Source organism: Homo sapiens, chromosome 20 (assembly GCF_000001405.40).
Source record: "Homo sapiens chromosome 20, GRCh38.p14 Primary Assembly".
Classification (NCBI taxonomy): Eukaryota; Metazoa; Chordata; class Mammalia; order Primates; family Hominidae; genus Homo; species Homo sapiens.
In genome coordinates, this window is record NC_000020.11 from 2,345,801 (window position 1) to 2,363,225 (window position 17,425).

Here is a 17,425-nt window from a genome sequence, read left to right on the forward strand (position 1 = left end):
GGCCTACGTCTCTCCTCCCCTGTCCTAGACTTTGTGCTTGTCATGGGCAAAAACCATGTCTTCTTTAGCCCTACATTCTCCACACTTAGCATAATACCTGGTGTAGATAAGCACCCATAAGAATTCATAAAAGAGCCAAAAAGTAAATGAAATTGGTAATGAATGAATGAATGAAGTGACTGATTGAATTTTAATATGTAATATTCATTGAGAGTATAAAATATGCTAGTCACTTTTCTAAGGTTATCATAAGTATTTATTTAATCCTTCCAACAATCCTTTGAGGAAAGTACTAATATTATTCCCATTTTACAAATGAGGAAGCAGAGATTTCGAGAGTTACTTAGATCACAAAATAGTAAATGACAGAGCTGGGACTCATACCCAGGTAGACTGGCTCTAGTGCCTAATCTGTATGTTATGCAGTACTACCTACACAAATTCTAAAGAGGTATCCAGTGATAAATCCCATCACAGGCTTACAAAGAGATACAGAGGAAAAATGAAGCAGAAACAAGGAAGTGTGTCTGTGCTGTGGTACCCAGCCCTAGGGAGGCATTCTTGGACGCCTCCTCCCAATCTCCTTTCCTGCAACTGCTTAGTTTATTGGCTCTCTCATTCCTATGCTGATGAGCATCCCTATTCCCAGAAGCAGCCTCTTCACCCGTCCTACGTCTGGCTCTAAACCACTCCTCCTCCCAACCTTGATCACACTTGCCTGGGGAAGCCAGCCTCAAAGAGCTGAATTCAACATATCCCATTACAATGAATGTTAGTACCAGGGACTCCCCCTGACATTATGTCATTTCTCCTCCCAGCAACCTTCAAAGGTGGAATTATTACACACTGGTACTGGTGGGGAAGCTGAGGCTTAGAGCAAATTCTCTACATTCCTTGCTCTCATACTAGTCTTCACATACCTTTATAATCACTTACCATACTTTATTGCAATCATTTGTTTATGTGTCAATGGTTGCCAATCTGCAGGTGGAAACACAGGTAAATATATATAAAATGATGTATTGATGTCACATTACAATAGATTATATGTTCAGTGACCTTAACATGATACGTTCAATGTGTTGTCCCTCCTCAGGGCATAATTGGTTGTGCTGTGCAAAACTGCAATGGAAGTGGAGTGATACGCAGCAACTCCATCATTCTCACAGACTGCCTTGGATGATTTGTGCCTCTGAGTTTCATGGAATAAACCTGCAGTTTTAGTATGCCTCAGAAGATGTAATCAAGGCGGTTCAATCTGGAACAAAATTAAGTAATATTACTTATATAGTCAGACTTTCTGGCCATTCTGTCGTAAATGTGCTTTCTCTATTAAAAAAATTAAAAGTATATAGATGCATTAAACTATTTTTATACAAATATATTCACATTATAAAAATTCCTTAAATATGTAAGCCGGTAAGAGAGTGAAAAAATAGGCAGTTCCCCCTTCCCCACTCCTCTTCCACTCCTTCCCCCAGAGGACATGCCTGTTGTCAGTATGAAGCATGCCCCTTCCGGTATTTCTTAACCCTTAGGAATGAGAGTAGGGCACCTTCTACTGGTAGATGGGGGAATTACAGGTATTTGTAAAATCATCTGATGGCCAGTGCTTCAGACTGAAGGACCAGCCTTCTGTTTGTTTGTTTGTTTTTGAGAGGGAGTCTCGCTCTGTCGCCCAGGCTGGAGTGCAGTGGCGCGATCTCTGCTCACTACGAGCTCCACTTCCCAGGTTCACGCCATTCTCCTGCCTCAGCCTCCCGAGTAGCTGGGACTGCAGGTGCTCACCACTGCGCCCGGCTAATTGACCAGCCTTCTGTTTAATCATGAAATGCATGTAGGGGTAGGGAGGATAACTCTATAAAAAGGTTTTGGTATCTTATGTTTGACACTGGCAATCCCCCTCATCTGATTCTGCAATATGTGACCTCCCAAGGGCACCAGGCCATTAAATTATATGGTCAAGATCTCACTGAATCACAGGTGATTAACGAGTCCCTCCTGTGACCAGGTTCTGGGGATTCAGCACAGATGATTAGTGCTTTCTGAAGGTTTATCATCAAGGGGGTGGGAAGGTGGGCAGTGGGATGGAAGTGGGGGAAGGTAGGGGGAGATAGATGATAAGATGGATAATCAAATAAAAAATATAAATTCAAGTAATGATTGGTACACTGATGAATAAAAGTCAGGATGGGGGTATGTCGGGGGTGGGATGGGCAGGGCAGGCTCTCTGACGGTGGTATTTGGGTAGAAATTTGGCATGAATGATGAGGGAGAGCCATGTGAACATCTGAAGGAGCAGGTTCTGGAGCAGGGGAGCAAAGCCATTTGGGAGTACCCCTGGTGTGTGTGAGGAAGATAAAGGAGGCAATGGTCCTGCAGTGGAAAAGTGAGGGTAGGGTTAACTGGAGGGGAACACAGATCCTGTAGAGCCCTGAAAGCTGTTATAAGGACTTGGGCTTCTATTGTGATTGAGATGGGAAGCCCAGGAAGGTTTTGAGCAAAGAAGTGACAGGATATGACTTGTGTTCTAAAGAAAACCCTCTGGCTGCTGCGGGGAGTCCATGGAGGAGGTTGTTGTAACCACCCAGGTAAGAGATGAGGGTGGCGTGGTCCAGTTTGGTAGCGATGGGTAGCTGGGAAGTGGAGAAGGCAGAGCCCACAAGATGTGATGAGGGACTGGCTATGGGCTGTGAGGGAAGGAAGCATGCAACTAACACCAGTGCTTTTCCACCTGAGCAATTCAGGGACTCCAGGTGTCACAGGGCACAGCTCTATTGCTCTTCCTCCATGAGGTGGGCCCTAGGGAGCTGTGATGTGGGAAGCTCCTTCCTTCCTCTCCAGTCTCACTCTGGCCCCTCTTCGGCCACTTCTCTGTGTCTGACTCCCTAATCACTGTGCTGCGATCCTGGCTTCAGTCCAGAATGCCAAAGCTGCATCTTCTTTGATAACATTCCCTGGTGCTCAGAGCTCCACACCAGTCCTGGAAGGAAAAGCAGGTTTCAGAGGGAAAAGAAGCCCTAAGGCCCAGCTGGGAGGCTGGAGCAATCAGGGAGGACTTCTCATAAGAGCTGGCCTTGAAGAACGTTATGATTTCCTCAAATTCAGGCAGGGGGAGAAACATGAGAAGGAAAGATGTGTTAATGAACCAGAGTGACATGAGGCTGAGAGGCAGATAGAAAGGACCGGGAAGAGCCTGACCTCGACTGGCTGGAATTAATCCCAATTTAGTGGGTTACAGCAGTGCCGGGTGGGTGGGGAGGGGGGCTGTAACAGGTCATATTTTCCCAAAATGGCCACAGTAGTATTTCTAATTCTATATGCTCTCCTGTCTCAGTCAAAAGGTGGAGTCTAATTTCTCCCTTGGAATATGGGTTGTCTTTGAGACTGCCTTGACTGCTAGAGTTCAGTGGCAGTGATCCTATGTGACTTCTGATCAATTATAAAGGCCATATGGCTTCTGCCTCTCTCTCTCTCTCTCTCTCTCTCTCTCTCTCTCTCTCTCTCTCTCTCTCTCTCTCTCCCCACCCGCCCCGACCTCCACCGGCGCTCACCCTTGGAACCTAGCCACCATGTTATGAGGAAGTCCAGATCACATGGAAATGCCTTATGTGGGCATTCAGCCAACAAATCAGCTAATCAACCACCAATCATGTGAGTAAATAAGCCTTTAGGTAACGTCAGCACCAGACACTGAGTTATCCTCAGCCCTCAAGTCTTCAAGCTGCGACCCAGACAGTGTGGAGAAGAGGCAAGCCATCCCCACTGTGCCCTGTCGGAAATGCTCACCCATAAGAATAATAAATGAATATTCTTCACCACTACGTTTAGGGATAGTTTGTTATGCAACAACAGCAACTGGAATAAGCCCCAACACAGGTCAGCCTGGTGAAAAACTCCCTGGTATCATTAATGTGCCCCCTATTATCTCCAGGGTTATTAGTGTCTAACTAGGCATTATGCACAAGCATCAGAGCCAAATTACAGTCTATATCTAATTACTATTTTATTATTATTCCCTGTTATGCTTGGCTAGTGGGTGTTTGTTGGGGTGGCGGGCACCCTCCCCAGCCAGGGCAGGGACAACCCTTGTGACCCCGCTTAAGAATAGGGTTTTCTCTTCATGATGCCTTCTTGTGGTCAACGATGGCAAAAGAACAAAACTGGAATCTCCATATGACTCTGCAGGAAGGAATGTGACCTGAAGCAAGGGGCTTATCTGCCCATCTGGTGACTCCCAGGTCAGCCCCATCTCAAAACAAGCCCGCTTCAACCATTCATGTATCCATTCATCTACTCAACAACAACAATTTTGAACAGCTATTGTGTGTCAGGCTCTATGTTATCCACACAAGGAGACAGTGGTCCATCTCTCCATGGAGCTTCTATCCTAGTGGGGAGCCAGAATGCAAGTAATCGAACAAAGTGCTGACAGGCTGTGATAAGTGTGATGAAGGAAAGACACAGGTTTTGTTCCAGGAATAATAGGCAACTTTTCTCTGAGCCCCGGGGACGTTTCTGTGGAATTGTGTTTCAGCTGAGACCTGAAGGATCCAAGCCTGGTAAGTCCATCTGTAGCAATGGACATTCACTGGCTGAATCGAGGAGAGGAGAAAATGTTGAACGGATATCAGGAAACTCACAGACCAGCTGGAAATATTAGGGAATCAGGCTTAGAAAACACGCAGGCGCAAAGAGTGACCATGAAGCCCAGCACTACAGCCAAAACTGCACCACAAAGCCCATCAGGTAAGGACATCATTGCTTGACCTAAGAATAAGATGGCAGGAGAATCCATTCTGGCCACCAGGGCCATCACCATTGCCCCCAGAATGGAGTCCTCACCATGCCCTCTTCTTGACACCAGCTCCCAAGTAAAAATTCCAGGTGAGAACATCCGCTAGGCTAAGCCTGTCATGTGACCATGCCCTCGCTGCAGCAAAATCTGGGAAAGTAACTATTTAGACAAGATGCCTGGATCTGCAGCAACCACCTGGTGGCAATGAAGCAACAGGCACAGAAAACAGCCAAGAGTCAAGGATAGTGAAACACAGACGTTGAAGGAATGAGGCCCTTTGGCGCCACTGCTGAGCTGCTACACCAGTCTTGAGACTGTCAAATTCTGGACACTGTATGAACTAAACAAATAAAGATCTTTAGGATTTTAAGCCACCATTGTCGAAGATGCTGTTACTTGCAGAGAAGGCATTTTTAATCATTACGAAGAAAAACAGATCCACACTCGAGGAGTTTTTATCTAACGTGACTGGTAGAATGTGCTCTAATGGATGAGGATGGGCAGGGTGGTAAGGTTTCTCAAATTTCTGTGTGAATCAGGATCAACTGGGGCTGCTTATTAAAATGCAGATTCTCACAATCCATCCCCAAGCTCACTGGCTAAGACTCAACGAGGAATAAGCATTTTTATGGCATACAGATGTGTCTGATGCAGGAGGCCCACTGGGCAGACTTGGTGAGCAGAGGCACAGGGGGACCCGGGTCAGCTGCAATGTCTTCCTCTTCCTCTCCAAGTCCCAGCTTCTCATCTGCAAAGCTAAATGTGATCATGGATGTCAAGGCCTTAACAGTGCCTCGGTGGGCACAGTCATAATACAAATAATATTTATTGTACCAGAAGGCCTAGGGATCCTGGCTCTGCCCCTTAACTGGCTGTGTGACTTTGGGGAAATTACTTAAACTCTCTGCACCTCAGTTTCCTCATTTGTACAACACAGATAATAATGGTGCTCACCTCATAGACTCATGATGATGGGTGAGTTACTATATGTTGAACACTTAGAATAGCACCTGGCAGATAGTAAGTGCTCAGTAAAGATCAGATTGAATTATTACAGCCAGGGCCAGGCATTGGCTAAAGCATCATCTCTGTCAAAGTGGTTCCTTACTGCCGCCCCACAGCACCAGGATTTGAGAGTACAATTCATTCTGACTGGAGGTAATTGAGAGGACTTTTGAAAGAGGTGAGATTTGGATTTCTCTTTAGTCAGAAGTGGTCTAATCAGGGCTGAGTCTGTGACATCAGGGAGATGCCTACATTGAGGGATCTGAGGATCTGCCTAGAGCACAGCAGAGGCCCCCTTTTCTGGAGAATCACAGGGGTAGGCTTGGATAGCTGTGGCTGGAATGTTAAGACTCAAGGATGCTGAGGGCTGGGGACAGCCTGCTGAAATCTTAATTATGACCAGCAGAGGGAGCCCTAGTTACTACAGCCAGCCTCCAGAATTTAACAACTAGTCAACGCCAGACTCAGGAACCTAGTGATTTCAACGTGCAACCCGGGAGGCGGAGCTTGCAGTGAGCCGAGATCGCGCCACTGCACTCCAGCCTGGGCGACAGAGCGAGACTCCGTCTCAAAAAAAAAAAAAAAAAAAAAAAAAAAAGGAGTGAGATAAGCGCCCTCCAGAGTACATTGAGAGCAGCTGGGAAGCTTGTTATAAATGCAGATCCTAATCCAACATGGGAGGCGGGGACAAGGAGCTGGGGTAACATACAGATGTGTATCAGGCCTTCCAATCTCTTGGCCTCACCTGTCACTTGTGCCAGTCGCTGCTGCAGGAACTGGTGTTGTCACCTGACTGCATCTCCCTTTGCACCCGTAAGCAGCCACACACTTCAAACTGGAAGTACAGAGGAGTTAATACCCTGCATGATGATCCTTTCATCAAAGAGATAGGGCTCAATGGATACATTCTTCCACCTTTCTCACAGAGGCGCACAGCCCTGAAAAGCAGCTTATAATGACTTATCGAAGGCAATCATTTGGGAGTTTGGGCGCACTGGCTCACACCTGTAATCTCACATTTTGGGAGGTCAAGACAGGTGGATCACTTGAGGTCAGGAGTTCGAGACCAGCCTGGCCAACATGGTGAAACCCCATCTCTACTAGAAATAATAAAAAAAAAAAAATAGCCAGGTGTGGTGATGCATGCCTGTAATCCCAGATACTCAGGAGGCTGAGGCAGGAGCATCACTTGAACCTGGGAGGCAGAGGTTGCAGTGAGCTGAGATCACACCACTGCACTCCAGCCTGGGTGACATAGCGAGACTCCATCTCAAAAAAAAAAAAAAAAAAAAAAAAAAGGCAATCAGTTGCACTTAGCAGTGGCTAGCTCAATAACACCCTAGTATTGGCTCTTTCTCTAGGAAAGCCCTCCTTAATAAAGTGTCTACATCTTCACTTGAGCCTCTGCTTTCTTGGGATGCAGACTACAACAAAATGAAACAAAACCAGCCATATGTTAAAATTTGTTGAACCTGTCTTGATGGGTACATGGGACTTTATTATCCTATTCTCTCTATTTGTGTATGTATTTGAAATTTTCCGTAACAGAAAATACATACATACATACAATGCATATTCTGGAGATGGAAATTCAGGAATAAGGACCTCTGTAAAAGCAATGAAAATGCTGACAAAAATTGTCAAAATCAATTTTATAGAACTCAAAATTAACCAAATTTACAATAATCTGAGGAGCATTCATTCCAGAAAATTGCAAAATCTCAATAAAAACACCAAGATCTGTGACTTTGTAATTTGACCTGTTTCCCTCCCCCTTTCTCTTCTCTGTAGCCTTATAACCCGGAAGCCTCACAATCACCCATATCTTTAAAAACCAGTAACGCAGCCACCAGACGGGGCAGACCAGTTTGAAGCTCCTTATGTAGCCTCATCCCCAGAACATTGTCACTATTTGATTCATCTTGCAGCTCCCTGGAAAGGTGTTGTTTTTACATGATCTGACTTAAATTTTGCCCTGGAGGAGAAGTCCTAGTCCCAAAGTGTTTTTCAAAAACAATCAGCAGCACCTGTTTAACATCACAGCTGCCTGGAGCAGTGATACCAATTTAGTCAAACAAGAGCCTAGCCAAAAACGTAGAGAAAGATGTGAGAAGTGAAATATCCACATTGAAAAGATCTGGCATATTCCTGAGGATCTAGAAGGCTGTTTTGTGAGCAGGCTTGTGTGAGGCCTCGAGAAAGCCTCAATATTTCACATATATTTGGCCTTGAGGTCTTATGCCAGCAGGAAGTAAAGGCTAAAGCAGAAATCCTAGAACTGCCAAGTGATGCAGATGTGCCCCAACACACACAGAGAGCCCCTTAGCAAAGGATACAAACACTTATTGATCAAGGAATTTAAGAGAATCTCCGGCCAATCGTTAGCTGACCACTAAGCCAACTGAACAGAGACAACAATAGCAGCACAGCAAAAAAGTGTGGAAATCTGATTTCCAGAGTTCCCAGGTTCTATTATGTAGAATGTCCAGTTTTCAACACAAATTATGAGACACACATGAAACAGGAAAATATGTCCATACTGAGAAATTAAGTATTAATAAAAACTGTCCCCAAAGGGAAACAGATATTGTACCTACTAGGCAAAGACTTTAAAATCAGATTTATAAATATGTTCAAAGAACTAAGAGAAAGCATGTCTAAACAATTAAAGGAAAGTATAGGGGTGATGTCTAACCAAATAGAGGATATTAATAAAGAGATACAAATTACAAACAAGAACCAAATGGAAATCCCAGCATTGAAAAGCACAGTGACTTTTCATAAAATAAGTAAAATGAAATTTTGACTAGAGAGGCTCAACAACAGATTTCAGATGGCAGAAGAAAGAATCTATTATCTTGAAGACAAGTTAATTGAGATTATCCAATCTAAGAAACAGAAAAAAAAAGAATAAAGAAAAATGAATCTGTATGTCACCATCAAGCACACCAATGTACATATAATGGGAGTCTCAGAGGAGATGAGAGAGAGAAAGAAATGGAAATAATATTTGAAGAAATAATGGATAAAATTTTTCTGAAACTTAATGAACTCCACATAGGAGAAAATCAAGGAAATTCACACTTAAACATATTATTATCAAATAGTTCAAAGGCAGAAAGAATCTGAAAATTAAAAAATGAACTCATTATATATAATGGATCTTTAATAAGGTTAAAAGGTGACCTCTCATCAGAAACCACAGAGGCCAGAGATTAGTGGGATGACATATTCAAAATGTTGAAAGAGCAAGGCTGTCAACCAAGAATTAAGAGAAATTAAGACATTCCCAAATAAATAAAAACAGAATTTATCACTAACCAACCTGCCCCACAAGAAATACTAAAAAGAATCTGCAGGCTGAAATGAAAGGACACTAGAAAGTAACATGAATCCACATAAATAAAGATTCTTGGTAAAGTTAACTGCTTAGATAAATATAAAACATAGTACACGTGTATTATTTTTTGTAACTCTCTTTTTTCCTATTTGATTTTTTGAAACTTACTACAAAGCAACAGTAATCATAATAGTGTGGTACTGGCATTAAAGACAGACATATGGACTCAAAGGAATAGAATAGAGAGCCCAGAAATAAATCTTCACATATATAGCCAAATGATTTTTTGCAAGGGTGCCCAAACCATTCTGTAGGGGGAAAAGACAGTCTTTTCAACAATTGGTGCTGAGAAAACTATATCCAAATGCAAAAGAATGAAGTTGGACTCTTACCTAATAACATATACAAAACAAATTCAAAATGGACCAAAGAACTAAATCTAAGAGCTAAAACTATAAAATCCTTAGACGAAAACAGAGGGCAAATATTTCATGACATTGGATTTGGTAATGCCACCAAAAGCACAAGCAATAAAAGAAAAAATAGACAAATTGGACTTCATCAAAATTAAAAACTTTGTAAACACTATCAATAGAGTAAAAAGGCAACTCAAAGAATGGGAGAAAATATTTGCAAATCACATTTCTGATAAGGGATTAATATACAGAATGTATGGAGAATCCTTAAAACTCAAGAACAAAAAACAATCCAAAATTTTAAAATGAGCAAAAGACTTGAAGAGAGATTTATCCAAAGAAGATATGCAAATGGCCAATAAGCACATAAAAAGATGCTCAACATGACTAACAATTAAGAAAATAACACTCATTTGGATGGCTGCTATAAAAAAAAAACCACAGAAAATAATTAGTGTTGGCAAAAATGGCACTTTGGACAGGACAGCCACTATGAAAAACTGTATGACAATTCCTCACAGGATCCTGTATAATTTCACTCATGTAAGTTATTAAAGTAGTCAAATTCATCAAGATAAAACTATGATAGTGGTTGTCAGGGGCTTGGGGTGGGGGAAATTAGGAGTTATTGTTTAATGAGTACAGAGTTTCAGTTTTGCAGGATGAAAAGAGTTCTGGAGATGGATGGTGGTGACGGTTGAACAACGATGTGAATGTGCTTAATGCCACCGAACAGTGTTCACTTAAAATTGTCAAAATGCTAAATTTTATGTTACGTATATTTTGCCACAAATTTTTTAAAAAATCAATTATTTTAAAAAGACAACAGCATGAAGCAATAATTATAAAACTATGTTTATGTGTTTATAATGTATAAAAACGTAATTTGTATGACAATAATTTCACAATGGAAGGGCAAGGAAATTGAGTGTTATTGAAGCAAAATTTGTGTATGCAATTGACATTAAGTTAGTATTAATCTAAACTAGATTATTTTTAAAGTTGAGATGCTAATTTTCACCCCAGGGCAACCACTAAGAAAATGACTTAAGAATTATAGTGAAATAAATAACAAGGAAATTAAAATGGTACACTAGAAAATATTCAACATAAAATAAGTCAGTGACAGAGGAATAAAAGAACAAAGACTCGGGACAGAAAACAAATGGCAAAATGGCAGATGTAAATCCTATTTTATCATTAATTACATTAAATGTAAATGGCAGCTCAGAGAGGGTCCTGTCAGGGGTACATGCATCTTAACAGAGATTTCATGTGAATAGAATGAGTGCTTGAGATTTTAATGCTGGAATTTCAGTATCTGCCAGGGAATTGGGGATATACAGTCATATATGTCAAGTAGGGGCACACAGAGTGAAGCTACTAATTAGGCCGAAATCAGACTGTAAAGAACAGTGTCTTTCAAACGATTCCAGCTGCAAAATGCTTTCTTCAAATCAAACAACTAATGAAACTTTGATGTACATAAAATAGTCAGGGAAGTTCTATGATTTAGTGGGTGTTGGGGCCAGGAGCTGGGCTCACTCTACCTCCCCTCGTAGTAAACATTTGTGATGTACTATGTCTTCCTCCGTATACCACTGTTAACATCCCATATCAAGTGCATGCCATGGCATCTCTCTGCTTTGCTTTCAGAGGAGCTTGAGAAGACTGCTCAGCCATGTGTTGTGCATTCCAGAAGTGTGGGGGTGTTAACCTCTGGAGGTGACCCACAACCAATGGAGACTGGTATCAGCCCTACAGTTCTAGAGGGACAGTTCTAGGATGTATTCCATACAGCTTCTCAGACAGTCCCCAGTAAGACTGAGCCCCAGTTACCCACAGTGATCTACTCATTCACAAACACTTGACCGACATTCCTCCCTTCCCAGTATCACTCCTAATGCTCCTTCACTTCTGCTTCTTTGACTCACCTCCCAAATCGACTATATGTACCCATGATTATCTTAGGGTTTTGCTTCCAAGGAAACCCAAACTAAGACACCCCTCACCCTGCCCCAACATGTCTCCCAAGACACTTGAAGTCTCCTCTGTGGAATGTGTGTGGCAGTCCCTACCCTAAGCTCTCCTTCCCTGTGCTTCTCAATGATCTTAACCTTTTGCTCCTCACCTCTGAAAGCCATCTGGACTCAGGGAAAAGTTGACTTCATACAATATTTTAAATTCTTTATGTATGAGAAAAATAAGATAAACAGGCTATGGTGATTGGATGTGGGAGTTGAGGGGCAGGAGGAGTAGAAGAGGACCACAGGCTTCCAGCTGGAGTTGGAAGACAGGAACTGACACCATCAAAGCAGGTTAAGGGAAGACAAAAAGACAGCTTGGGACATGTGTTTTTGGTGCTTGAGGGATATCCTGGTGGAGTTTCTCCAGTAGACATTGGTTATTGTTTTCTGGAACTCAGAAGATAAGAGATATGAAACACATCAAACTACAGGTGATATTCAAAGTCATGGGCATGGATGAGATCACTCAAAATAAATGCTTAGAGCAGAAAAAGAATTTAAGAATCACTGTCTTTTAACCATGGTGAATTCTGAAGGCTGGATTTTAGTGGTATTGGAATGAAGAAACTTTTATTTTCACTTTATACACTTTTGATTTGTTGTTTAATATATACGTATCTGTAGGAGTTGAGAGTGAGAGAAAAGAGTGAAAGACATGGTGACAAAGACCCTCCCATGTTGTACCTGCTGCACCCTTCTCCTCACATCCTCTCGGCACCTGTAGGAGGGGGGCCAGCTTCCTAACCCATGACCCAACTCAGTGGGCAGGTTTGTTCTAGCCTCTTGACATTAGCTACGCCAGGTCTGGCCAGCACGGTGCCCAGACATTGCATTCCATGGGGTTTGCTCAAGGGAGGTAAAAGCTTTATTTGTTCTACAGAGTCACCACCCAACAGTTGCCAAGCCCCTTTGGAATGTTTTGGAGGGCAGTTTCCCAAGATAGGCATCAATAATTACACATATTTTTCAGCCTCTTTGAGCAAAGTCATATAGGATTATATATCTGAAATTTTGGTGTAAATTATAATGTGCTGAAAGCACTAACAAGGGGGTTGTTATTATTACCCAACTGTTGTCACCAGCAATGGCTTCTTCACAAGCATAAGGCTTCATGAACTCTCAGAGAGGATGGCCTCAAGGTGATCTATGAATCCCAAACTTCTGTGAGTTGTGAACGTCCTCACAATTTTCACCTTTCTCTGAGAACTATTGATTCTGTCTTTACTTAACTTTTTAATGTTTTTATACTTTTATTGAGATATAATTAACATACAATAGAATATAAATCTTAAGTGTTCCATTTGATGAGTTTTTGTTATTTTTAACTTTTACTTTAGGTTCAGGGGTACACATGCAGGTTTGTTACACAGAAAAATTGTGTGTCATGGGGGATTGATGTTCAGATTATTCCATTCCCTCAAGTAATAAGCACAGTACCCAATAGGTAGTTTTTCAATCCTAACCCTCCTCCCACCCTCCACCCCCAAGTAGGCCCTGGTGTCTATTGTTCCCTTCTTTGTGTCCATGTATACTCAAAGTTTAGCTCCCACTTATAAGTGAGAACATGTGGTATTTGGTTTTCTGTTTCTGTGTTAGCTAAATTAAAATAATGGTTCCCAGCTCCATCCATGTTGCTGCAAAGGACATAATCTCATTCTTTTTTATGGCTGTATAGTATCCCATGGTGTATATGTACCACATTTTCTTTATCCGGTCTACTGTTGATGGGCATTAAGGTTGGTTGCATGTCTTTGCTATTGTGAATAGTGCTGCAATAAACATACACGTGCATGTGTCTTTATGGTAGATTTATATTCCTTTGGGTATATATACAAAAATGGGATTGCTGGTTCGAATGGTAATTCTATTTTAAGTTCTTTGAGAAATCATCAAACTGCTTTCCAGAATGGCTGAGCTAATTTACATTCCCACCAGCAGTATACAAGTGTCCCCTTTCTCTACAAACTCACCAGCATCTGTTATTTTTTTGACTTTTTACTAATAGCCATTCTGCCTGGTATGAGATGGTATCTCATTGTGGTTTTGATTTGCATTTCTCCAATAATTAATGATGTTGAGAAGTTTTTCATAGGTTTGTTGGCCCCATATATGTCCTCTTTTGAAATGTGTCTGTTTATGTCCTTTGCCCAATTTTTAATGGGGTTGTTTGTTTTTGCTTGTTAATTTGTTTAAGTTCCTTATAGATTCTGGATATTAGACCTTTGTCAGATGCATGGTTTGCAAATATTTTCTTCCATCCTGTAGGTTGTCTGTTTACTCTGTTGATAGTTTCTTTTGCTGTGCAGAAGCTCTTTAATTTAATTAGGTCCCATTTGTCAGTTTTTGTTTTTGTTGCAGTTACTTTTGTCTTCTTTGTCATAAGATCTTTGCCAGGGCCCTTCCTAGATTTTCTTCTAGGGTTTTTGTAGTTTTAGGTTTTACATTTAAGTCTTTAATCCATCTTGAGTTGGTTTTTGTATATGGTGTAAGGAAGGGGTCCAGTTTCAATCTTCTGCACATGGCTAGCCTGTTATCTCAGCACTGTTTATTGAATAAGGAGTCCTTCCCCCATTGCTTGTTTTTGTTGACTTTGTCAAAGATCAGATGGTTGTAGGTGTGTGGCTTTATTTCTGGGTTCTCTATTCTGTTACATTGGTCTATGTGTCTGTTTTTGTACCTGTACCATGCTGTTTTGGTTACTGATAGCCTTGTAGTATAGATTGATGTTGAGTAATGTGATGCCTCTGGCTTTGTTCTTTTTGCTTAGGATTGCTTTGGCTATTCAGGCTGTTTGGGCTCCATATGAATTTTAGAATAGTCTTTCTAATTCTGTAAAAAAATATTATCAGAAGTTTGATAGAAATAGCATTGAATCTGTACATTGCTTTGAGCAGTATGGCCACTTTAACAATATTGATTCTTCCTACATTTGATGAGTTTTAATCATTGTACCCACCATGTAAATACCACCCAAATCAAGATGTAGAACATTTCCATCTCCTCCCTAAAATAGAATTTTTTAAAATTTTTTTCAATTTTTTATTGTGGTAAAATAGGCATAGCATAAAATTGCCTATTTTAACCACTTTTAAAGGTACAGTTTAGTGATACTAAATATATTCATGTTGTTGTGCAACCATCACCATCATTCATCTCAAAAACTCTTTTCATCATTCAAAAATAAAATTCTATACTCATTAAACAATAACTCTCCATTCCCCTTTTCCCTGAACCCCTGGAATTTACCATTTTACTTTCTGTCTCTATAAATTTGACTATTCTAAGTACCTCATATAACTGAAATCACCCCATGGCTATTTTCTTGGTGTGACCATGGGGGTTACATTTAACATCCTAAAGTCACTGCACTCTAATTTGAATGTATACCACCTTAACTTAATTAATACACAAAAACTCTGCATCTTTACAGTTCCATCCCCACCCATTCAGTTGTAAATGTCACAAAAGTAGTCTCTTAAATCATGTATAAAACAAAAAAGGAGTTATAAACCATTGTTATGATAATACTAGCTTTTATACTTGCCCATGTGTTTACCTTTACCGAGATTGTTATTTCTTCAAACAGCTTTGAGTTACTATATAGTGTCCTTTTATTTCACCTAGAACAGGTTCAGCAGTGACACAGTCCTTCAGCTTTTGTTTATCTGGGGATGTCTTAATTTCTCCCTCACTTTCAAAGGACAGTTTTGCTGGATACAAGATTCTTAGTTGATAGTTTTTTTCTTTTAGCCTTTTTAGTATATCAGCTCACTGCCTTTGGGCCTCTAAAGTTTTTAATGAGAAATTTACTTTTAATCTTATTGAGATTCCCTTGTATGTGAGAAGTTGCTTGGTTTTTGCTGCTCTTAAGATTTTCTGTTTTTGATTTTTAAGAGTTTGATTTTAATGTGTCTTGGTGTAGGTCTCTTTGAGTTCATTCTACTTGGAGTTCATTGAGCTTCTTGGATGTTTATATTCATATCTTCATCAAATTTGGGGAGTTTTCAGCAATTATTTCTTAAAATATTTTCTCTGCCCCTTTCTCTCATTCTTCTCCTTTTGGGATTCCCACAATGCTTATTTTTTCCACTTAATGGTGTCCACCACAGGTTTGTTAGGTTATGTTTACTTTTCTTCAATCTTTTTTTTTTTTCTGTTTCCCATATTCAATAATTTCCATTGTCCTGTCTTCAAGTTTGCTGATTCTTTCTTCTGCCTGTTCAAATTTGCTTTTCAATCCCTCTATCAAATGTTTTTTATTTTCTTGCTTGTACTTTTCAGTTCCAGAGTTTCTGATTCTCTTTTGGTTTTTATCTCCTTTATTAATATTTCCATTTTATTTATACATTTGTTCTTTATTTTCACTACATTTTTCTTTAGTTCTTTAAGTATCTTTAAGACAGTTATTCCAAAGTCTTTGTCCAGTAGATCAAGCCTTTTCCAGAAACAGTTTCTGCTAATTTATTTTTTCCTTTAAGTGGGCCATACTTTCATGTTTCTTTGTGTGCGTTGTAATTTTTTGTTGAAAACTGGACATTTGAATCTAACAATGTGGTAACTCTGGAAATCCAATTCCCCCTTACCCAGAGTTTGCAGTTTTTTTGTTTTGTTTATGGCTTTTGATTTTTTTTCTTATAGACCGTCTCTGTGCTGAAAATCAGCCTAAGGCATAAATTTAAGGTTGTATCGGGTCTTTGCTGAGCCTGCCCCTTTTGGGAGCATGTGCAGTCGTTTTTTAATTTCCTCCATGAATACAGTTGCTTTTGAATGTCCTAGTGTCTAATATCTGGTCCCCAAAAGCACAAAAACAGAAAAATGAAGGGAAAGTCAGATGTCCCACCCCTTTAAGTACCCTGGAATTTGCTTCAGCTGGAGGGAGAGGGGCTTGCAGCAATGAGGGGAGGTGTAACAACAATGATTGCCACCTTTTTGGCTGCATCTCTGTGATTAGAAGCAGCAATCAGCAATCAGAGCACAGATTCCTGATATTTGGAGGACAGGGTCCCTTTTGCCCACTCTGGCTCTTTTAAGCTGCTCCCAGAATGTGTGCAAAGTTTCCTACCATGGAGAATGGGTAGTTGCTACTGCACTAAAAGCTAAAATTTAGTAAAATTAATTGCAATTTACCATCCAAACCTTCTCTTGGCATTTACAAGCCTTAGGTAGACTCCAGAGTTTCAAAATAGTTATATCAGACAGAGTCTGGCAGTTCAATTGTTGCCTAGGTGAGGAGGCAGATTCCTTGTGCTTCTTATTCTTCCATGGCCCTAGAATATTCTATTTACTTAATTTTGTTACTTAATATATTTCTTTAAGGCAACTGCCCACTTTTTCTTAGCATCATACTAAGCAATAATATCTATCTTTTATGAGAAGCCAGACCCAGCTCTGAACTGACACCAGGCCTCATTCTCCAAGTGGACCACCCGTCATATTCCTCATGAGTCTTTCAAAAACATGCAAAGAAAAAATGAAATAAAAATAAAGTTCACTTTTTTCTTTCTTTAGAAACAGGGTCTCACTCTGTTGCCCAGGCTGGAGTGCAGTAGCACCATCATAGCTCATTGTAACCTTGAACTCCTGGGCTCAAGCAGTCCTCTCGCCTCAGCCTCCCAAGTAGTTGGGACTACAGGCACTCACCACCGCACCTGTCTAATTTAAAAAAAAAAAATTTTTTTTAGAGACAGGGCCTCACTATGCTGCACATTGCTTGACCTCCTGGTCTCAAGTGATCTTCCCACCTCAGCCTCCCAAAGCGCTGGGATTATAGGTGTGAGCCACCATGCCTGGCCCCGAAGTTCACTTTTTCTAATCAGCTTACTAAAAGGTGAAACGAGAA